The 23,400-nt window shown below is 45.6% G+C and overlaps 1 protein-coding gene and 1 non-coding gene across 2 annotated transcripts in view, besides 1 other annotated feature; both read left to right on the plus strand.

Annotated features, from left to right (window-relative positions):
• The window catches only part of COL4A2 (collagen type IV alpha 2 chain), a 205,926-nt gene that overhangs the window by 84,040 nt on the left and 98,486 nt on the right, over positions 1-23,400 (plus strand). The window lies entirely within an intron of this gene.
• Positions 20,879-21,173: a silencer, noted in NCBI's record as "tiled region #13414; HepG2 Repressive non-DNase unmatched - State 12:CtcfO". NCBI's record gives its function as "represses a minimal TATA promoter and a strong SV40 promoter by Sharpr-MPRA in HepG2 cells {active_cell/tissue: HepG2}" and the evidence as "EXISTENCE:reporter gene assay evidence [ECO:0000049][PMID:27701403]".
• LOC124903267 (small nucleolar RNA U13) lies at positions 22,882-22,983 on the plus strand. The gene has a single exon (XR_007063966.1). It is a non-coding gene; the product is annotated as a small nucleolar RNA U13 (small nucleolar RNA).

A 23,400-nucleotide genomic window follows, 5' to 3' on the forward strand; every position in this document is an offset into this window, starting at 1 on the left:
TAGAAGCAAAATGGTGACTATCAGAAAACCTTACCCAATAGGAGTAGCCAGACTTGGTCATTTGTGAGGAGTCCGGCAGCCGGGGTTCCAGCATCTCTGTTGCTTCCCTGCTGTTGCCAGTGTAAATGTTTTATCATAGTCAGGATCTGTTGAGTTAAAAGAATATCCAGAGATATAACAATGCATTCTTTGTCTGAGTCATTAAGAATGTTTATGAAGAAGAAATTGAGTAGTGAAAAGCACAGATTCAGAGCCCGGCAGATCTTCCTCTGAAAATTGGCTCTACCGCTTACTAGCGCGATGCCCTTGAGTAATTCTCTAATCTCTGTAAGCCTCAGTGTTTAGTTCTGCAAAACAGAAGAGCAACACCTTTCTTTCAGGGTCGTCATTGGGATTCGAGGTAGACAAAGTAATCTTTAGTATCTAGTCACATGATCATTGGTCCCCAGGTGCTCGCTAAAAGGCAGCCTCCACCCGTCCTGAGAGTGAACCACTGCATTCTTCAGTGTTCCCGGCTGGCAGGTGTGGACTGCTGGTTCTCTTCAGTTTGCTCTGAAAATCTCACTTTGCTTTGCCCTTGCTGGATATTTACCCAGGTTTCTTGGGCTCTTTCTGCCCCCACGTGTCTTGCACATCCCAGCAGGTGTCTCCTCTGGGGCCTTCTCTCCTCTTGGCCCCACACATTCTGTTTGCTCCCAGGGTGGATTTGGAGGGGAGTGGTAACAAAGACCCAAGTTTTCAACAACAAATGGCAGGAGGTGAAGAACTTCAAATTTGAGATTCTAGGAAAAAAGAGGAGTTTGAAAGAAATACTGAAATACTGAAAGTCACGGTTGAATATGGTGAGAACTTAAGAGTAAAATAAAGAATCATCAAGAAAACAAGTCAGTCAGTCAACAACTTGACTGATTTAAAAGAACCAATATGAAGAGTCTAAAGAACTGATTTATTCTTGCATTCACGTTCCAAAGCAATTTAAGTAAACTCAAAGAATGATGCTATAGTTGAAACGTAAATGGAGGAGGACTGGGTATTTATCTCCAAGATGCAGGGAGAAAGGTGGGTTTTGAAGAGGAGGAAGCCAGGACAGAATACCCGAAGTCTGCAGGAACCAGGAGCTGGGACCCTCGAGGGCAGTGGGAGGAGAGACGGTCACAGCAGTGCTGTGAGTCCGCGGGGCTCTTCCGGCCCCTCTGCCTGTGTGTCCACTCAGTATGTGAAAAATGCCTGTGAATTGTTCACCCAAAAATGTATTGTGCAGCAGCAGATGTCCCCTACCCCATGCAGAAAAAAAGACCATATTAGTACAACGCCTGTCTCATTCCTGTTTCCTCAGGGGATGCCTGAGAATCCCTTGCTTTAAAATCCTCTCCCGACCCTTATCTAACTGTGGTCAAGAATAATTGTTGGCCATTTCCTGCTCTGGAAACCATCTGGTCTGCTGTGGTGCCCTCTATCCTCCCTCCTCTTTAACTATAAATTAAGTCCTAAAAGAAAGAAGTAGAAGAACTGAGACAATTTAGGACCAAGAAAGTAAAGTTAAGAAATAATTGTATTAAGTCTGTAAGTTTAGAAAGGGCTGATAGCCATGGGGCAGGTGGTTGATTTTCATCCTCACCATGTAGAGAATAAGAAGGGAAAAACTTACATGGAGGATTCTGACTAGCCTGGAGCGAGAACTCACAGTGATTCAGCAAATATCCACACGAACAGCTGCGAAGTATTGTTGATCTCCCCCTGGTGTCGCCCACCTGGGAGGATTGGCCCACGGTGGTGCTGAAGGCAACAGTATGGAGGTTGGCTTCAAATCCCTTCTGGCAGTGTAAATTCATGAGAAATGCTGAATACAGTTCATCTCATGTGCTTTTCTTTTGTAAGGTAAAATTGAGCTCTTTCTTTTCTCTAACAAGCTCATTTTAAAGGCTATTTAAGGGAAACATAAAATTAAAATATAAAACTGAACCTTTCGCTGGCTCAATTTCTTAATGCTAAATTGCTCTCCCATCCAAGAATAATTTCAAAAGTTTGGAATTTATAAATGGCAATACTTGGATGTGGAAATTATGTTAGGACTCCTATTTTTATGAATACAATCCAGTATAATGTAAGGCTATATAAAATGAAATATTTCTGTTGAAATGTATTTCAATTCTTTGTCTGAGTAGTGAGGATTTTATTATTGGATTTTAGTTACTCAAGTTTCAGCTATATTTAGTGCTGAAATTCTAGGCCATTTTAAGAGAATCCCACTATAAAGAGGGAAAAAAAAAAAAGGCCAGGCCCGGTGGCTCACACCTGTAATCCCACCATTTTTGGAGGCCAAGGTGGATGGATCACTTGAGGTCAGGAGTTCGAGACCAACCTGGCCAACATGGTGAAACCCCAACTCTACTAAAAATATAAAAAATAGACGGGCGTGGTGGCACACACCTATAATCCCGGCTACTCAGGAGGCGGAAGCAAGAGAATCACTTGAATCTGGGAGGCAGAGGTTACAGGGAGCCGAGATCGCACCACTGCACTCCAGCCTGGGCAAGGGAGTGAGATGCTGTCAAAAAAAAAATTCTTTTTTACATGACTCAGATACAATGAGGGTCAAAGTATCTTTGCCCAAAACATTACTGTAGGACTCATAGTAAAAACCTTCCAGCAGAATGAGGTGTTGGCCATACCCCCTGCCACTATATGATGACTTTCTCCACCATATCTGTGTGCTGAAGAGTCAGATGGGACAGTAGAAGCATGAGAGAAAATCCATGCTGGAACCACCTGTGCTTGACTTTGTAAAAAATTTTTCTCACAGGTCTTTAGGTTAAGGATCTTTTAACTCCCTTGATAATTTGGCAAATAGGTATTTTATAATCGTAAAACAAGAGAAAACATTGATGTAGTGCTTACTTTCTGCCAGACACTGTTTTGCTCTGTGTGTGCGTGTGTGTGTCTGTGTGTAATTAACTCACTTATTACTATTTTCCCCCTTTAACATGAGGAGCAGAGAGGCTCAGTAGTTTGCCACTTGTCCACTGTTTCTAACCTGGTTAGGCTGGTCAGCATTTGAACATGGAGGATAGGACAGTCACATGACATTCGCACAAGTAGAGAGAGGAACGTTGACTTCTGAGTCACAGGTCTTCTCCTGGTAGCGCCATCATACCTTGGGGATGTTTCACAGCCACAAATCCAAACATGCGTCCCAGACTGCATGACCCGTACCCCAGTTGTGTTGACCTATGTTCATTTCCTAACTCGTGCAATTACACAAGGATGGTCTTGGTGCACACGACCTCTCGGTCCATTTTCTGGCCAATATTCAGTTCCTTGTTCTCGCCTTGCCATTTGCCACGCTTCAGTCAGTCTTGTTTCCCACACTGCTGCTGGAGAGGTGGGCTCCTCCGCGGGTGGGCCGATGAATTACTTGCCTTTGCCTTTGCTAGAGTGAGATGCATTCCATCATGTAATACATCAAAACATACACCAGAGTTCTGGCCCATCTGGTGCTCTTTGCTCAGATCCCCTGGCCACTCCCTAATTTTCTCCACTCCCACAACTTGCTGACATAGATTTGATTTTCAATTCAGAACAAATTCAAAACAAGTAAAAAAGATCTGATGGAATTAGCAGACACATGTCAAATTATCCACAGCTTCTTGCTGGAGACACATGGAAAGATAGGGTGCAGCACGTCTCCGGGGACCCAGAGCTGGAGAACTCCTAGCAGCCTCCATTTTCTACAAAGCCACGGGTCCTCCACAGGGTTGGCCCTAGTGCCCAGAGGTCAACAGTGGAGACCTGTCTCCTCCTGGGAGGACTGGATCTCATATCAATGCGTAAGATGATAATTAGGTATTGCCAGCATTCCCCTTACAAATCCTTCAGGCAGGGCAACTTTGGAGCACAGTGGTTGTGTCTTAGGAGGTCCAGCAAAGCCAGTTCCCTTCAACATTAGAACAAGTCACTCTTCCTTCTACGGAGCACTGCCTGGGAAGTGACTGCCACTGCCATGTTGTGTGACAGAGGACAGTCTTTAAAGGGGTTTCATTCATTGTGGACAGATACTATATGAAGGCACATAAGGGATTTCCTGATGGGGAGGATGGCAGGGGAGGTGTCCCACGATCTCAGTGCTTGTTCATCCTGTCTGTGTCTCTCTCTCCACTCCCTGCCCCACTCCTCATGTTGCAAAGTTAAATGAGAACGTGACACATTTTTCCTGTGATTTTCATTTTACATTTTTAGATGTGGTCATTATATTCAACTGGATATAACATTTTGTTTCTAATTGAAAACTTTTTCCCCAAAAGTTTTTGTGCTTTTGAAGCAAATGCGAAAGTCCATTTCTGGCAGGGCGCAGTGGCTCATGCCTGTAATCCCAACACTTTAGGAGGCCGAGGAGGGCGGGTAACTTGAGGTCAGGAGTTCGAGACCAGCCTGGCCAATATGACGAAACTCCGTCTCTGCTAAAAATATAAAAATTAGCCAGGTTTGGTGGCGCATGCCTGTAATCCCAGCTACTCGGAAGTTTGAGGCACAAGAATTGCTTGAACTCAGGAGGCGGAGGTTGCAGTGAGCCAAGATCGCGCCACAGCACTTTAGTCTGGGCAACGGAGCAAGATTCTGTCTCAAAATAAAAGTCCATTTCTAATTCCATTTGAGGGATATGGAATAAAGTACATAAAAAGTAACGAGTCAAAAGAAAGAAAAGGTTTTAGTGAAAATGAATGTACTCTTCTCCCCCTTCTATTGTTTGTAATAGACTTAATCTTTAAAGCAGTTCTGGATTTACAAAAACAAAAAAATTATTCAGAGTGTACCCATATCCCCTCCCGCTACCTCTCACCCCTAGTTCCTCCGATTATTAACATCTTGTATTAGCGTGCTGCATTTGTTACAACTGATACCAGTGTTGGCCTTCCATTATTCTTTTAAATGTGAATCTGACTCTGGGGATTTGTGTGACTGAATCTCGCAGATTGAGAACGATTTTTAACAACCAGCCATGCTTGTAAAAACATGTGGAAGTTTCTCTGACTCTGAAATAAGAGGGACAAGATGGTTCCCATGCAGGCTTGCGTTGGAAATGGGGGAGCGTGCACAGTCTAACTCCATGCCCCGTGTTTTTCTTGAGTAGCCCTCTGGGTTGAATCACCCTGGACTTCAGCTGAGGCAGGGGGATTGTTTTATGCTCAAGAAAGCTCCAGGAGTGGTAGAATCTGGCCATCAAGATGTTCTGTGAAATGGGGCTCTTGTCTTTTCTGGAGAACATGCCTTCTTGGCCCTTTGATCATGAGACATCTCACCACGCCCTCCTTTAACATTGCTAATGATGGGGACTGACCACCCCGTCATTAAACCCCATGGCAGTCTAAGATTAAGCCATTCAGAATCTTACTAGAAATGACTAAGCGGACCGTTTTTTCTTGTGAGGAGAGAATTAAAGGCGTTTCCAATCCCTAATGATAAAACCAGCATCAAATTGTAGAGAATTGCAATTTCTTTCTTACAAACAGCAAATTTTTGTCTCCTTTCATTTTTTAAACTGTTGAACGTGTCAGATGGTATGCATAGAGAGATTTCAGAGGTCTAGTCAATGTGCAAATGTTTTGTGGTTTTATTTTGAGTTTGAAGTCAGAGCACTGAATTCCACAAGGCTTGAGCCTCACTCTCCCTCCTGAGCACCCAGGCTTCACGGACATGACTAATAGGAGTTTATTCACAGCCTGCTACCATCCTTGGTCATAACGTTGCTCAAGGCCCGAGCAGGCCTGCCAAGACCACAGTGTAGCCCTGTTAATATCACATGACCGTCGGAGAGTTTTTGGAAAACCTCCTCTGGCCGACTGTTTATCCGCCCCCATTGATATTTGTCTGAAGATAAGTTATACAGTCTGTTTACTTACAAATGCGTCAGAACAGTCTTGGACTTCTGCACGGAGGTTCTGCCAAATACAAGTCTAACAGGGAAGTGGTTTGGGCAGCCCCGGAACCGAAGAACCCCTCAGAGCATCACAAGCCATCACTCTGGGTCCCTGTCATTTAAATAGGGATTCAGGCTTCAGGTTGTCAGTATTTATAGGCTTGATTGGAGGGAAGTAAGCCGTATGAGCACTTTTTAAATGAATTTTTATTTCTCATTTCCACTTAGTGATGGATGCACATTTTTCCACTAATAAACATTTGAACTTTTTTCAGTTTTTAAGAACATCGTAGGTGGCATATTTCACAATCTTGGCAAGGCAGACGTTTTTGGAGTAAATCGAAACTGGAGGCCAGAAGTACTGGCTCTGAACTGAACTACCACTTGCAAATCGATGTAGCAGAAGGAATAATGGATCATGTGGACCACGCAGAAAGCGATCTGAGACGGGCGTGTCAGCCGCATGTGGATGAATAGTCCTTTGTGGGCAGGAAGGAGAGGGAGTGGGTGGGTATGAGGGCAGGAGAAAGAATCAGCTCTGTGTTTGGGGGCTGTGAGAGGACACTCAGAAGAAGGCTTTTACACCATATTTTATATTCACAAGTTTATTTATGTTATTTTGAGTCCAACAGAAAGAGTCACAAACGTTAAACTTTAGCAACCCCCTAATGATTGGAAAAGATGGGCAAATCCTTGCTTTAAGAGCAGCTGTATCGTATGGAGAAGAAGTCATCTCTGCTGGGAAAACTCGCGAACAGATGCAGGCTAAAGCGAAAGATCAACTCTCCACACCATTACATTTTGAAGGGCTTTGAAGTTATTTTTAGAAAAACTCAAAAATCTAAATCAAAAATCAGATTTTTTCTTTTTTTTTTTCCTACTGCTTCCTTTTCCTTTTTCTTCTTCTCTTGTCCCTTCTCCTTTTTGGTTGTTTCTATTGCTATTTTTACATGTTCCTTTAGGTGGGGGGAAGATAAGGTGTGAAATGTATTCAAGTGCAACTTTTTCAAAATAATAAAATACATGTTTATTATGAGGAAAACTCAACTGCCTATAGAAATGACAACGGTAAATGTAAATAAGCAAAAGATCAGAGATATAAGTGTATAGCCATCACTTCCTTTAGCAATCAAATAATGAGCTGGGCGCAGTGGCTCACACTTGTAATTCCAACACTTTGGGAGGCCAAGGTGGGTGGATCAGTTGAGGTCGGGAGTTCAAGACCAGCCCGGTCAACATGGTGAAACCCCGACTCTACTAAAAACACAAATGGTGTTTTTAGTGTTTTGTTTTTAGTTTAGTGGTTTTAGATTTTAGTGGTGGCAAATGCCTATAATCACAGCTACTTGGGAGGCTGAAGCAGGAGAATCGCTTGAACCCAGGAGGTGGAGGTTGCAGTGAGCCGAGACCGTGTCACTGCCCTCCAGTCTAGGTGACAGAGTGAGACTCTGTCAAAAAAGAAAGAAAGAAAAAGAAAGAAAGAAAGGGAAAGAAAGGAAGAAAGAATCAAATAACAAAAAGCACAGTCAGCATTATAAGATATCAGACATACCCAGCCCAGAGGCAGGGTGGAGTTGGAGATCATCTAGTCCATCAACCAAATCAATTTAGGTTGATTTTTTTTTAACAATTTTTTTTTTTAGCCAAGTCAAAAAAAGTATTTTTAGCCTTACTTATATATAACTGTATCTTTTTTGGCTCACTTAGACCATTTTATCAAAGGAGATCAACCACAAATTCCTGCCGGTTTTTAGTTGTAAGAAGCTTTTTTTATTGGCAGGAAAACTGGGAGAATGTGTAAGTTGTTAAGCAGCCAGGCCACTCTGTGCCCAGTATTCTGGTAACTATTGTGAAGGATGTTTAAGAAGCAGGTCAAAGGAATGAAAGGGCATTGGGGAGAAAGGTGAAGAAAATTTATTGAACACCTATCACATTTTTCCCTCACTAGCTACTTAACTCACACATCCGCACAGGAGCCCAAGGTTAAACCACTTGTCTAGATCACCAAGGAGAGCAAAGATAAAATCTTGTTCCTCCCGTAAGCCCTCAGAGCCTGTGATGTCAGACACCTTGTTGAGAGATAACATTCACAAAACAACCAGAGAACCTTGATGGCCATCATATATTAGTGACATATTCATGCTGGCATGTGGGGCATAAGTGAGCTCCCGTATTGACTTGGTCTGAGAATGAAGAAGTCTAGCTTTACCCATAATGGGCTTTAAAGCAGCTCTTTGAGTTTGGTTGGCCCCAGACCTAAAGTCTTGCATCTCTGAACCACTTTACCTATTTTCTTTCCCACAGAGGACAAAAATAAATGTGTGGAACTGAGCCTAGGTCCTGTGAAACCTTTTATTCTCCAGATGCATAGCATTCCCTTGGTGACACAATCCAGTTTTGTGAAATATATGAAAATATTGGAACTTTTCAAAAATTGTCTAAATTTGGGGGGATGTGCCATGAGAATGTTTAAAATGCAAATTCCCACACAGTTCATCTAATTGATTTTAATCTGATTATGCCTGCCCTGCAGGATCTTCCTGGCAGGAATATGATAGGCCACCTGCTTCTTTTAGGGGAAAACATTCTGTTTTGAGGGTAAGAGAAGATTTGAGTGAGGTTTGCTTTGGTCATGGCTTCTGAAGCTTGATAATTGCAGAAGTTCCATCTGTAAGATGCTCGATTAAAATTCTAGATGAATTGAGTAATCTCCACAAGGCCAAGAGAATCTAATGTTCTTGAATTTGTTCCATATTCACGATAGATCTAGTAACCATGTGTAGTAATCAGACAAATTCTCCAAAACATACAGCCAGCTGGATTCCTGAACTTTAACAAAGTTTTTATGCTGACTGCTTCTGCAACCTCACTAACTAGCCAGCCTAGATAGGAAACTCCCTTCTTAATTCATTCATAAAGTACCTTTTGATATATAGACCCAATCTCTAATAAACCTTTTGGAGATCAATTTGCATATGTGATAAAAGTGAAAAAGTTGGTCTTCAGATACCTACTACAGAAAAAAAAGTGAAAAAGTTCTTAAGCAGATGAGAAATTTAAATAAGATTTTAAGTATTTTCTGAACATTAATTCACCTCTTGACTTTTGAAACTTTGGTCAGACGGAAATGTTCATTCCTTCTCCCTGAAAGAGTTGATGGTTAGATTTCATAACACAGAAGCTAGTAAAGCAAATGCAGTAAGAAAAGTAGCCTCCCATAGGTATTCAAACACGTATTCAAAATTAAGACAGCAGAAAGTCTAAATGTTTAAAATATGCTTCATTAACTTCTGATTCCTTGAATCTATCCCCATTTATTAATGTTTATATAGAGAACCAAAAAAACAGAAAAATTACTATGATGACTATTAATTACATCATTTTCCAAAAGGGGGAAAAATATTGTAATCAATGAAACCTGAATATACTTTTATAATTGATAAGATTAAAAAAGTTGTAATTCCACTTCAGTAACTAAAAGAGTTATTCAGAAGATAAAGCATTTATAATGATGGACCTAGATTTCTGCTTCCTATAGAGATTTCCTGCCCACGTACACATATTCTGGTTACACAGGAAGGCTCATGAGTTGACTACTTTGGCCAGCCTTCTATTTTGTAAGTATTGGCAGAGAGATACTTAAGAAAAAAAATGATTTCATAAGTAAACTTATAATTAAGAGAATGAAGAAGAAGATGTAGCTCTTGGGGCTTCCATTGCCTCCTAACAGAAAACATCTGCTGGACTTCCGGAATTTTCCTAAGACCTTGAGAACACACCCACGCATTTCCAACTTTTTTCCTAACCAGTGAGTTGGCTTCAGCAGTTTTCAGTTTTATAGCTGACTGTCCCATCCAAACAGTTGTTCAGCTTTGCCCTTTATCATAAATTCATTCCCATTTGTTTATTGCATAGTATTGGTTACCTTCTGTTAATTGGGAGGTGGGGAGGAGGACCAGAGAACAAGCTCATAGGTACAAACCTTGTCAAAACTAAAACCTGTTTTGTAGATGAGGATTGGTTCCTTGTATTGTTAGCATTGCCTTTGCTCAAGAGAATCAATCCAACTCATTTTAGTACCATCTGTATCTTTCAAAATGAAGAAGAGTAGTTAAAACAATATGAAGTATGGCATGTGTCAAACTCCACAAAGGTGTTTTCCATATAAACTTGAGAAAACCTAATTAAGTGGGTTTTGAAGAGACAATGGAGCTCTGTTTATATGTTTGCCTACCCAGGGGAACTAAAACAAACAAAACTTACTTTTAAAAAGCTTCTTCAAAGTTCTCATTTTGTTTTAGAAGAACTTTCAGCTTCATTGCTTTCTAAGTAGCTTGATATCATTAGAAACTGATAATGCTCAGCACAGTCAGCGCAAGATAAGTTAACCAGCTTACATCCACCTATATGTTTAGGGGTTCTCTTGGTCTAAAACGTCTTGAAAACCAAATTTCTGTGAATCAGTTACTGTCTTAGTCCACTTGGGCTATTATAACAAAAATACCTTAGGCTGGATAATTTATAAATGACAGAAATTTATTTCTCACTGTTCTAGAGGCTGGTAAGTCCAAGATCAAAGTACTAGTAGATTTGGTGTCTGATGAGATCCAGGATTCATAGATGGTGCCCTGCTGCTGTGTCCTCACGCAGCAGAAAGGACAGATGCTCCCTCCTTTATAAGGGCACTAATCCCACTCATGAGGACATCACTCTAATGACCTAATCACTTCCCAAAGGCACCACCTCTCAATACCAGCAGATTGGGGATTAGATTTCAGCTTATGAATTTTGGAGGGACACATTCAGTCCGTAACATTTCACCCCTAACCTCCCAAAATTTATATCCTTCTCACATGCAAAATACATTCATTCCATTCTAATAGCCCCCAAAAGTCTTAACTCTTTCCAAAATCAACCTAAAAAGTCTAAAGTCCACAGTCTCATCTAAATATCATCTAAATCAAGTGAGAGTCCAGGTATGATTGATCCTGAGGCACATTTCTCTCCCAGTATGAGCCTATGAAATCAAATAAATTGTGTGCTTCCAAAATACAATGGTGGGACAGGCATAAGACAGACATTTCTATTCTAAAAGGGAGAAACAGGAAAGACTAAAGGAGTAAGTGATGCCAGGTGAGTCCAAAACCCAACAGGGCAAAGAACATTCGATTTTAAGTCTTGAGAGTCATCTCTGACTCCATATCCGCCTTCTGGACACACTGGGGTGGGGATTGGTTCCTTGAGTCTCGGGGCAGCCCCGCCTCCCATGGCTTCACTGGGCACAGCCTTCATTGCAGCTCTCCAGGCTGGGCAAACTGGTCACTCCACTGTTCTGGGTGCTGGGGGCAGCCCCACTCCCACACCTCCCCACCTAGAAGAAACCTACACTGCCATGAACAGAATATTATTCATGGTGTTCTGACAGACTGAGGCTTTTTCTGCAACTCTCTTCTTCTTATGAGCCCTCACCTTACGGAGTGAGGAGCCCCTCTCCCACAACACTGCCCTTGTGGGGCCTCTGTTGTTGGCCCTGCTCCTGTGTCAGGTCTGTGCCTGGTCACAGAAGTTCTCCAGGGCATCCCTTGGAAGCTGGGTGGAGGTGGCCACATTCTCACAGCTCTTGCACTCTGTGTGCCTGCAGAGTTGGCACCACGTGGAGGTCACGAAGGCTTCCTGCTTGTGTCCTCCAGAGAGACCATCTGAGCTACACCTGGACCCACTGGAGCCACAGCTGGGGCAGCCGAGGAGCACTGCATCCGATTGCAGGGAGCAGAGACTTGAAATTGTTCTGGCCCCAGGGTCCTGGCATTCTGGGCCTAAGATGGGTGGGGCAGCCCCAAAGATTGCCTCCGGAGGTCCTTCCTCAGTTGTCTTGATTAGCAGCATCTGGCTTCCCTCTACCATACTCATCTCTTTATCAAATGTTTGCTTGGCTACAATCTCGATGTTCTCTGCTGAACATGTTTTCTACTCTTCTACTACCTGGACAGTCTAAGAATTTTCTAAATCTTTCAGTTCTGCTCTCTGTTTCTTGATAAATTCCATCTTTAATTTGTTTCTCTCTGTTTACACTTTACTATAGGCAGTCAAGAAAAGTCATGCCACACCTTCACTTTGCTTAGATATTTCTTCTGCCAAATATCCTATTTTATGGCTCAGAAGTCTACCTTCCACAAAACACAAGTAGATGAGCATGATTCAGCCAAATTCTTTGCTGCTTTGTGACAAGGATGGCCTTCCCTTTAGTTTCAATAACATGCTTCTCATTTCTGTCTGAGACCTCATCAGAATGGCCTTTCCTGTACACATTTCTACCAACATTCTGATCATGACCACTTAGGGAATCTCTAAGATGGTTGAGGCTTTCTCTACAGCCCCCCTCTTCTTATGAGCCCTCGTCAGAATCACCCTTAAGGTTCTGTTCATGGCCATGTAGGTTTTTTTCTAGCATGCACCTCCAGATTCTTTCAGACCCTACCCATTACCCAGTTCTAAAGCTAATTTTACATTTTTAAGTATTTGTTACCCCAGCATCCCACTTTTAATACCAGTTTCTGTCTCAGTCCATTCGTAGTCCATGCTATAACAAAAATACCTTAAGAGTAGGTGATTTATGTACAACAGAATGTTATTGCTCATAGTTCTGCAGGCTGGGAAGTTGAAGAGCAAGTGACCAGCAGATGTGGTGTCTGGTAAGAGCTCTCTGCTTCATAGACAGTGCCTTGCTGCTATGTCTTCACATGACGGAAGGGACAACAGGCTCCCCTGGGCCTCTTTGAGAGATGCACTAATTCCACTCACCAGGGCTGTACCCCCAGGACCTACTCACCTTCCAGAGTCCCCACCTCTTAATGCCAACACACTGGGGATCAGATTTCTACTCATGAATTTTGGAGGGACACAGACATTCAGACCATAACAGTTACTGCTCAAAACAAAGAAGTAAAAGCTAGCAAATAATATAAGTATGATGTATTTAGATTTATTTTAGTATTGCTCATTGCCTTTTTAAGGTAAACTTTCTGGGTCAATTGAGCTGTTTAGATGCCGACTCATATTTGAAGGTTCTGCTACTCCTCTACAATACCAGACTTATAAAAATCAATATATTGCAATCATTCATATACTCAGCGAACATGCTGACACCTACTGCGTGAAGGGTTCTGTGATATGGGCAGGGGGTGCAGACTTGTATCAGGCAGCTACTCTCTCAGAATTCACTGCCTGGCAGGGGGAGGCCAGGAGGCTGTCCCCAGCTAAGACACAAGGCATGGCTTGTGCTAGGCCAACAGGGAGGTGCCGGGAGTGTAATACAACAAGGAGGAGCCGCCAAGGCTCACAGGAGGGTCCCCATATGGACCCACCATTGCTGAGTGTGTGTAAGAAGAAGAGCAGGACCAGGGAGGTGGGTCTGAGAAACAGTACTGATTAAGAAGGAGTCCAGGAAGGAATCCCTGAAAAGAAAATGAAGACCAAGTGGATAGAGAGACAGGAAAGGAGCCACAGACAGTTCTCCCAGAGAAAGAGGAGGTTAGGAGGAGGGAGTGGTCCACAGGACCTAGCGCCTCTGGGAGACAAGGGTAGAAACCACACCATTTCTAAAATGAGTTGGGGCTGGGCACGGTGGCTCATGCCTGTAATGCCAGCACTTTGGGAGGCTGAAGCAGGTGGATCACTTGAGCTCAGGAGCTCAAGACCAGCCTAAGTAAGCAACATAATCCAAAAAAATTAGCCAGGCATGATGGTGCATGCCTGTAGTCTCAGCTACTCAGAAAGTTGAGAAGTGAGGATTGCTTTAGCCTAGGAGGTTGAGGCTGCAGTGAGTTGTGATCATGCCACTGCGTTCCAGCCTGGGTGACAGAGTCAGACACTGTCTCAAAATTAAACAAAGAAATAAATAAAATTTAAAAACGTTAGGAAGAGAGGAAGAAGAGGGTGGTACCTGGAGGGAGATCTGGGCTACAGAGAAACGTTTTAGAAAATCCATGTAAAATCCAAATGCAGCAGATTATTTCAGAGGTCACCAGGGTGAATTATGGCTGGGAAATGGACTAACACAAAAAAGATGCTGGTGTATATTGTGGAGGTTCGGGAAGGGTGGGACTCATGATGTGTTCAACAAGGCTGTATGGAAGCCTGGGTTGAGTCTGTGTCCCAGGAAAGGCCCACTAGTGGGTCCCGGTGTGGGACCCACCCCCGGCCCCCACCCCTTCCTGCCCCTTCTGGCTTTCTGCTCCACTCCCAGACCCGTCTTCTCCATCACCCGACGTTTTCCTAGAAGGGCATAAAACTTACACCATGAGGGGACCTCCACGTTAGACAGGGGGAGAAGCTGGAGGACATGAATGGCCCCGCAGTCAGGGCCCAGTCACCTGATCTCAGCTCTGTGGAGGTGAATGTGTTTGAGTTGCCCTTTTTGTGAAGACGTGGTAGCTGCAGGCATGGACAACTTACACATTGAGCAATTTATATACTATTTGAAGCCACCTCACTTTTTCCCTTGGTTTTTGGTTTCTGGGGTTTTCTAAGAGGGGAGAGTGACTCATGTCTTTCCCACTAGTAGGTGGCCTTGGTTTTAATGCTGCTCAATGGATTCTAAGAGAGCATCCCAGGAACCTGCTGGTATCAGCCCAGCACATTTTTGGGGTCTCTGGGAATGAGCTTGGGAAGGTGAGTGAAGAACAACTGAAAACAATGAAGCGCATTTGTGGCTGGAGGTCATGTTCTGATGAATCCCGATCGGGGGAAGCCATGGCTGCTCTTGCAGTGATCAAGTGTCTGCCGCCTGGATTCTTTCCTGGCATGTCAGATTTGCAGCTTCCGAGAAAGTGCTACTGTCTTGCATGACAAAGTAATATTTGGCTCAAAGAAAACACTGCCAAACTGAGCAGCCAGTAAATTCTATGACAGCATTCACCATAATTCCCAAATGTAAACCAGATAGTAAAGTGTCGTTCATAACCAGCGGACTGTCAGAAATCAGAGAAATGTGGGAGTGGCCTGCAGAAGCTGATCTGCTGCCCCTACGGACACTGATGGCTTCCTTCATCGATGCAGACTGGGGAGAAGTGGGCGAGGTGTAGGCCCCAAGCAGTCCCAGGCTGAGAGCCCGGCACAGGACTGGAAATACTCATCAGGGTTCACAGGCTGTCTGGTCTTAAGGAAGTGACAGCATAAGCAGGAGCATGTCAGTAAATTCACAGCAAGACCCTGCATGCAATTCTATTTGCAAATGGACCCTCTCACTCTTGCATGACTGGCTCCAATAGAAGCAAAACTCAGGTCCATCCTAGAGCACATCCCAGGAGAAGTTTCTCTATGGGGGATGAGCTTCAAAAGTAATTGTAATTTAATTAGAAATTTAGATGTGAGTACCTGGTTTTTTTAGTGGGACTCTTTTTTTTTTCTTGGTAATTTATACATTAGCCGAGACGCTTTTCCTACTACACTGCCAGAAGTTAACTTCTAATAGAGTTCATACATTTTGTTCTCTCTCATGTTTTTTCTCCGTCACCTATTCTTCACACCTTTTAAATTTAAGAAGCATGTATGTATACATCTGTGCGTGTGTGTATATGTATCCTTGGCAGCAGTCCTCATTCCTTTGGTGATTACTAAACATTTGAGGACTGGTAAACTGTGAGGAATTGAACCTTGCTGGCTGAAAGGTAGAGGACCAGAGTCTGCCTTGTTCCCCTTATGCCTTCAGGGGCCCGGCAGGGTCTCCTGCTCCTGGGGCTCATCCTGCAAGAGGCGGCTGGTATCCAAGCAGCCCACCCCGATCGCCTCCTCAGGGAAGAGGGCAGGGCAGTTAGGAGGCAATGCTTCTCCATGGTGCTGGGAATCTCTGTGATATAAACCCGGTGGGATGGAGGAGATTATTTCAAATAATTGATATTTACTTGCATTGACCATGAAACCAACCCTTCACGAGCACCCTCTCTGGCCCAGGGCAGCACTGCGCCCCTCGGGTGGGAAAGCCGGTGTGGGAGAGTCCAACCCTGCAGGAAACGGCTTGGAGAAGCTCCCGCCTGGGACACTGAAGAAGTGAGCGAGGAGGAATGATGCGTCAGTTCAGTTCACCAGGAGAAACGTGGAAAGGCCAGTGTAGCGAGGAGAGCGTCACACAGTTGTGGAGATGTCAGCAGACACAGTGAGGGACCATGGATGCGGGGCTCCAGCCACCAGAGTGCAGGGTAGAGAGGAGCTGCACCTAGAAAGCCGTGGCACACGCAGCACCAGGAGGCCTGGGCATCACATCCACCGACCCGAGTTTCACTCTGCAGGGAGCAGAGGGGCCTTCACGTTTTTACATTAGAAAGGAGTCGGAGAACACGTTGGATTTCAGAATTTGAATGAAGGCAGCTAAGAGAGGAGATGCATGAGGGTGCAGTGGGATGGGGTGCACAGAGGCAGTTCCAGAGTTAATGCAAGCAAGCAAGGAGGAAGTCCGATCCAGGAAGGAGGTGCTGGGAATGCAGAGGAAACGGCAGACTCCGGAGATGCTTGGCGGAAAGCCCAGTGGAATCAGTGCCCTCCCAGTGCAGTGTGAGGACGGGGGACAGCAGTGTCTCCCCCATTTCAGGTTCTGAAGCCTGGCTTGTGGGCCTTGCAATTCACCGAGTTAAGGAGCAGAGAAGGAAAGGGGGGTTGTTTCTGTTTTTTGGAGTTTTGCTGGGAGCAAGGTTGGAGGAAATGAGGTAAGAAGTTCAACTTGAAGCCTGCTGAGTTTAAAGTATCTCTAGACCCTCTAGACAGAGGCGTCCAGGAGGGAGGTAGGAGCCATCCACCTCTGAGCGTTCACTGAAGCCGTTTGGTGTGAATGAAGTATCCCACCTCATGAGTTTGGAGGGGAAGAGAGCAGCAAAACTCCAATGTTGAGCAGAACAGGAATCAGGAAGGGGCCAGAGGAGTGAGGGGAAACGCAGGCGGGTCCGTGGCCACCAGAAGAGCCCATTCCAGGAGGGAGGGGGCAGCTGTGCTGGGGCCACAAGGGTCCCCAGGGCGGGGAGGGGCCCTCACAGCTGGGGATAGTGGCATTGCAGGCCCTTGAAGAAGAGTGTCAGGCCAGAAACCAGCTCACCATGGTTCAAGGTGTGAATGGGGGACAGGAAGTGGCTTTGGAATGTGTCCAGGTTCTTTTTGAATAGAGAAAAATTTCCTCCATGACCATGCTTCCTGAAAAGAGAATGAACCCACACTCTGGGATGTGAGGCCAGGAGAGTTGGCTTCACCGTCGGCTGGCCGTCCCCAAGTCCTGCCCCTTCTCCCGCTCCTGTCTGATGTGAGAGGTGTTGCCACTGCAGTGTATCCAAAGTTCCAGACATGCAGAGCCGCCCTCTGGCCATCGTCGGGGTCATGGATCCTTTAGGAGTGAGGAAGCGGGATGCGCTGGTGTGGAAGGCCTTTCATATGGTCGGGCGTGGACACAGAGAGAAAGCGCCAAACATCCTTGCGGCATTGCTCCTGCCTGGTGGAACAGCACATTCACAGTGAGACAAACACAGGTCATAATGAGAGCAGAAGACCACAACAGCCACATGACACGCGTACACACACACGCACACATATATATACACACACACATGCACACACACATACACGCACACATATACACACATACACGCACATATACACATGGACACGCGCACACGTTTACACACATGCAGATATACACATGCACACACACGTACACACGCACACATATATACACGGACACATACACATAACGCACATATACACACACATGCACACACGCACACATACACACACACATACACATGGACACGCGCACACGTTTACACACATGCAGATATACACATGCACACACACGTACACACATGCACATATATACACACGGACACATACACATAACACACATATACACATGCACATGCACACACGCACACATGTACACACATGCACATATACACATGTACACACATACACGCACATATACACATGCACACATATACACACATTCTTGCACAAAAATCTCACAAGAACATCACGGGTGAAGCTTTCTAGGAATAATCTTACTAATATTACGAAGCTGACCACCCAGGCTGTGACGGGTAAATCGCAATATGGATATTCCAACCGCAAAGAAAGCAAGAATGTACCGTGATCAGCGCAGACCCACCCCGGGTCTCTAGTTTCCCTCTCCCAGTAATGCTCCTTGTTCCTAATGAACCGCGTGCATCTTTGGTGTCTGCGCTGCTGCCGCTACACCTTTGTGAACACCAAATGCGCAGGAAGCGTATCGGGAGCAGCACGGCTGCACTCAGTTGTTGCCTTCTATTTCGTGGATGAAAACTGCTATTGATTTCTCTTTTAACAAGTGCTGTTGGGAAGAACCAGTGTTCTGGAGGCTGTTTTCGCCCATGTCATGAGAACAGGGCGCCAGCTGAGTCACTTCTCTGGAATGGACTTTAATGTCACTTGGTTTCCTCTCACCCAGGACCCGGGCTTCATGTCTGGACAAATGAGCCATGCATTATCTTTCCACCAGACTAAAGAAAGATCAGTTTCTTGTGGTTTGTTGTTCTTTTTTTAATTGCGGATGTGTGTTCAGCATTCGCCCAAATAATCATTCCAAACCGGGGAGTCTTGGGGGAGTGCAGGATGTCCAGATAGCACCAGCCCTTTGTTAACTGGAGAGACGACAGACAATAACCCCGGCGTGGTGAAACCCGGCCCACACGTCCCGCCCGCCCCAGAGCCAATGCTAGGGCCATCAGGTGGCCCTGGTAGCCAGTGGTTCCAGGACCAGCATCAGACACTCGGTGTTACTGTGGACAGTAGCTTTGTACAAGTTCCTAGCGAGGTGATTTCCAAAATATTAGATACCTTTAAAGACAGAGATGAGGAAGACTGAATTGGGATCTGGCTTTTACTGTCCGCCATTTAACCTTCCTCACACCAAGCTTCAAGGCAACAGGGAGCGTGAGACATCCGTGAGCAAGAAGCCAGGCTGCTCAGCCACTCGTGGGCCACGTCCCCTGTCCCCTCGCAGGGCTTGCAGTTATCACACTCAAAGTTAGCCCAGGTTGTTCTCTAGGCGTTGTTGCCAAGCTCATAATTCCACATGTTCACGGTCAAATGTATGTTTAGATACCTTAAGTTGCTGCTAACATCCTGAGGGTAGCTTCTGGCTGTAAACAAACATAATTCTGATCACTGTGAGACTCATTCTGTTCTTGGACAGCCCCTTGGGGTTCAGTGACATGGACTCCAAGTTCACCATCTGATGTATGGGCTTCTGCCACTGGTGCTGTCATCTGGCACCTTCCTAAAACCTTCCCATTCGTACATGACCCCCAGCACCTGTTCTTTTTCTCCCGTAGCTTTCCTTTTCTTCTTGGCGTCAAATTCGAAGCCACTTTCATACCCTTTTGTTTTCTTCACGACAAAATATGTTACTGATGTTACTGTTATATCAGCTTGGTTTGTTCAGAAATCAAAACAGTGACATCTTTCTTCCATCTGGTGGAAAGATCATCAGAACCCAGCTAGGTGGTATCAGTGAATATTTCCATTTCCCAAATAAAGAAACTGAGGCTCAGGGAAGGGCAGTGACTTGCCTGTGGTCATAGAACTGGCAGAGCTGGGATTCAACCCCGGTAGCACTTCAAATCTGGTACTCTTCCTTCTTGACTGCACGGGGCTCCAAATCACGTGAATCTGTGTTTAACTGATCAGTGTTAAATCACTTCGGTTTGTTCACAAACCAAATGGCCACCATTCTGCCCTTTTCTCCTCTCAGCTGCCTTCTTCTCGATGCTCTTAAGCCCTCACTCACGGCCTGTGGGGTTACTGCAGGGACTTCTACCACCGTCTCCCACGTCCCATCTCAGCTCCTATCTGTGGTCAGCACCCAGGCCTCCCTACAGGTCTTCTCAGCCACGACAGCCTTCTCCCAAGGAACCTGGGCCTCTGCGAAGCGGCCTCCTGATTCCCCACAACTCCCCTGGAACACAAAGCTCGTCTTCTCCAAGGTCCAGCTAAACCCTGCTTCAGAATATGCTTAAACAGCCAACCTTTTTAGCATGCAGAACTCCACAGCTGTTTAGAAAATCTTCCTAATGCAGCCTGTTTTCAACAACGAATCTGTTCAGAGAAGGTAGAGAAAGCATAGGTTATGTCTAAATATTTCCCTGGAGTGTGTTACTACTTCAGAGTATTAGCCTGCAGCTCCAGGGGCCTCCTCTGCATACCTTTTGACCAGCATTGCTAAAAAGTAACAGAAATGGCTTGTTTGGGTTTCACCTTCTTTTTCTACCCATCACTCTTTAGCAGGGAGGGGGATTAATGAGCCGTGAAATGGCTACATTTGAGCAGGGTAGGGTTAAAGCAGAGAAGCCATGTTCTTAAATCACCTCTGCAGGACTGTGGCTGGCTTGGTTTTGTACGGATTTCCATGAACCCCAGGCATACATTGTTTATTTTTGTAGACAATTTGTCCATCTGCTTTTGGCTTAATTATCGCTTCAGGAAGATCAGTGGAAAAGATGTATTCAGAGTCCAAGGTCATGTCTGTTCCTCAAGGGAAGTCTGTGTGGATGACAATGCCCTATGGAACTCTTTTGAAAAGCCCCATATGACTCTTCTCTTTCATATACCAGCCAAATGGCCCAAACCTCTCTGTGCCTCAGTTTCCTCACCATAAAATGGGTACAATGACAGTACCTACCTCGTAGAGGTTTGTGAGGACTACATAGGCTGACTGTTGGAAAGTGCTCCGAACAGTGAACAGTCTAGAGTAAAAATGTCAGCTGCTGTTCTAGCTTAGTCCCAACCAGGGGTCAAAGCTAATAACCTGAAACACTCTCTTGTGGACCCTCTGCAATGGGCTGGGCCTAACAGGTCCGCCAATACACAAATTTGGAACACTTTCCTTTAAGCAAGTCAAAGGGAAGGGAATTGTCCAACCAATCAGTGATTGAGTTTGTTCCACCACCCTGTAGAAAGGAAAATGGAATTCGATGTGCTCTTTCGACATCTTTGGAACTCTGCAGTCAGGACTTTCCCCATGGGAGGTGAGCTCCCCGTGACAAATGAGGGAGCTGCCCTCTCTCCCACTGAGATGAGTCATTGTAACCCAAAACAATCTCAAAATCTTTGACATCACTGCCGCTTGCAAATCTGTGCCTCCAGCCAAGGGCCGGTGGATGCTACTGCCTGCCACCTCGTGTTCACCACCAGAACTGCACGTCACTCCGAATCTGCTGACCTCATACCCTGGCATAGAAACAGTAAAAAGACCAAACAAAAACGTGTCTTTTTTGGACCCAAGGTTGAAATCTGATTTTAAAACAGAGACATTCAGTAAGCATTAAACATCTTCCTTTTATAGCTTTCTCACAGACCTACATTGACAAACTCACCCCTTCCCTCCATAACCTTTACGCCCCTGAGTCACAGTAGTTGCCCTGAATTGCTTACGCAGGTCTGGCTTATCACCGACAGTTGTCCTCAAAACACTTGGTTCAAATGTTACCAGAACTAAATTTGGAGGAGGGAGTCCTGGCATTCCAGAGCCCTTGCCTCATTTTCTAGCGCGATCCCAGCAGATGGTCTGATGTATCTCATCAGATGCTGAGCGCGGGCCTCACTGGCCCAGCCCTCCTTTCCACAAGTCTGGTGGTCTCCTTTTTTATGACTCCACTTGAGAGGCCTGGGAAACATTCTCCCTGATAATGCAGGTGATAAAACCAGATCATCTGGTGGAACGAACAATCAGAAATTCCACTGGGCGGGCACAGGGCTTGGAGAAGAGTTGAGATTGCGGATGATGTTTTCCGGTAGATGAAGGTGACTGAAGGAATTGAATGGAGGGTGGAGGGGACTAAAGGAGAGGGTGAAGTCCTCCACAGCATGACCCACTGCTGCTCGGCATCAGAAATTGGGAAGTCATTATAATGGTCAGAAACGTGGTCTAAAAATAGAAGATTCCATGTGGGAAGAACATGAATTTCGGAGCCAGGCAGAGGGGGTAAATAGCAGTGCCATAACGCATGTGTTTAACAGACAGCACATGGAGTGTGTTCTGTGTGTCAAATCCTGCAAGAGATGCCGGGGACAGAGTGTGAATGAGGCATGGTCCCTACCTCCAAGGGCCTCGCGGTCTCACGTGAAATGTGGGTACAGAGATGTAGTATGGCAGTGCCCTGCAGTGTGCCATGGGGAAGAAGCCCCGGCCGCCTCCTCCAGTTGTGAGGAGGGGAAGATGCCCCCAGAGAGCCCATGCTTGAGTCACATCCTCTAGTGACCCTGAGAGCCTCAGGCAGCGAGGGCTGCGTGTGCCATGGCCCTGAGGTTCCAGAGAAACTGGCCCAACCGCTAGGCACTCAGTTAGACTGGAGAGTGCAGTGCACTGTGCCAGCGTGGGAAGGGGTGTGCCAGGGCAGTGGGGGACAAAAAAACGCAAAGGCTATGGCGGGGTGGCTCGCAGAGCCTGCAGAGCTGACACAGTGGCTTGGGGGCAAGGCAGACAGGTCTCTCAGAGGCCCCCTTACCTTTGCTTCACAAATGAGACATGAGCCAGCAGTGCTTGGCGGTGGTGAGCAGCCGGGACTGTGATGTGGGACCCTCAGCATGTGGGACCCTCAGGGCTTGGGGAACGGTATTGCTGCATGCAGAGCACCACTGGGTCCAGGTGCTGTGGGTGAGAGGCTCATCTCTCTGGGCTGCCCCCTCACCTGTCTACGTGAGAATTAGACACACTCCATGGCTCCCAAACCTGCCTGTGAATCTTAAGTGCTTGGGGGCCTTGCTGAAAACATCAACTCCTGACTGGGCAGTGGCTCATGCCTGTAACCCCAGCACTTTGGGAGGCTGAGGCAGGAGGATGACTTGAGCCCGGGAGTTTGAGGCTGCAGTGAGCTATGACTGTGCCACTGCAGTCCAGCCGGGCAACAGCAAAACCCTGACTCAAAAGATATGTATTCCATATATATAAATTCCCTGTCCTTTTGTGGGTCATCAGCATGATGCTGGGGCGTTCACACTCGTGTGAGACATGCCTCTCTCAAACCTTGTTAAGATGTCAGCACATGACCCATCTCACATGAAAAAATTAAAAAGAAAAAAACAAGGAAAAAGAAAAATACATATATAAATTCTTCCCAGGCTCCTTCCCTTGACTCCCAAACTGCTAGACCAGAAAATTCACAAGGTCTGAGACTCCCCGTTGTTGGTACTTTGGCGGCCAGCCCAGGCCAGTCCTGGGACAGGGACCACTTCAGAACGATCACCCGGAACCCTGTTAAAATCCAGGACAGGAGAGGGCCCAAGTGCCCTGCCTGATTGCTAATGAGCCCCCAGGTGACTCTCACGCTGCCGACCCCCCCGATCTCTCTCAGATGCCCCAGATGCTCTCTGAGGTCCCTTCCAAGTCCAACATCTTATGAAGCCTTTGGGAAAATAATCAGTTACCAATGGCAAAAAGCAGAGATGTAAATGTGAAAAGTGATATTATATTGGTC

The sequence above is a fragment of the Homo sapiens genome, chromosome 13 (genome assembly GCF_000001405.40).
Source record: "Homo sapiens chromosome 13, GRCh38.p14 Primary Assembly".
Classification (NCBI taxonomy): Eukaryota; Metazoa; Chordata; class Mammalia; order Primates; family Hominidae; genus Homo; species Homo sapiens.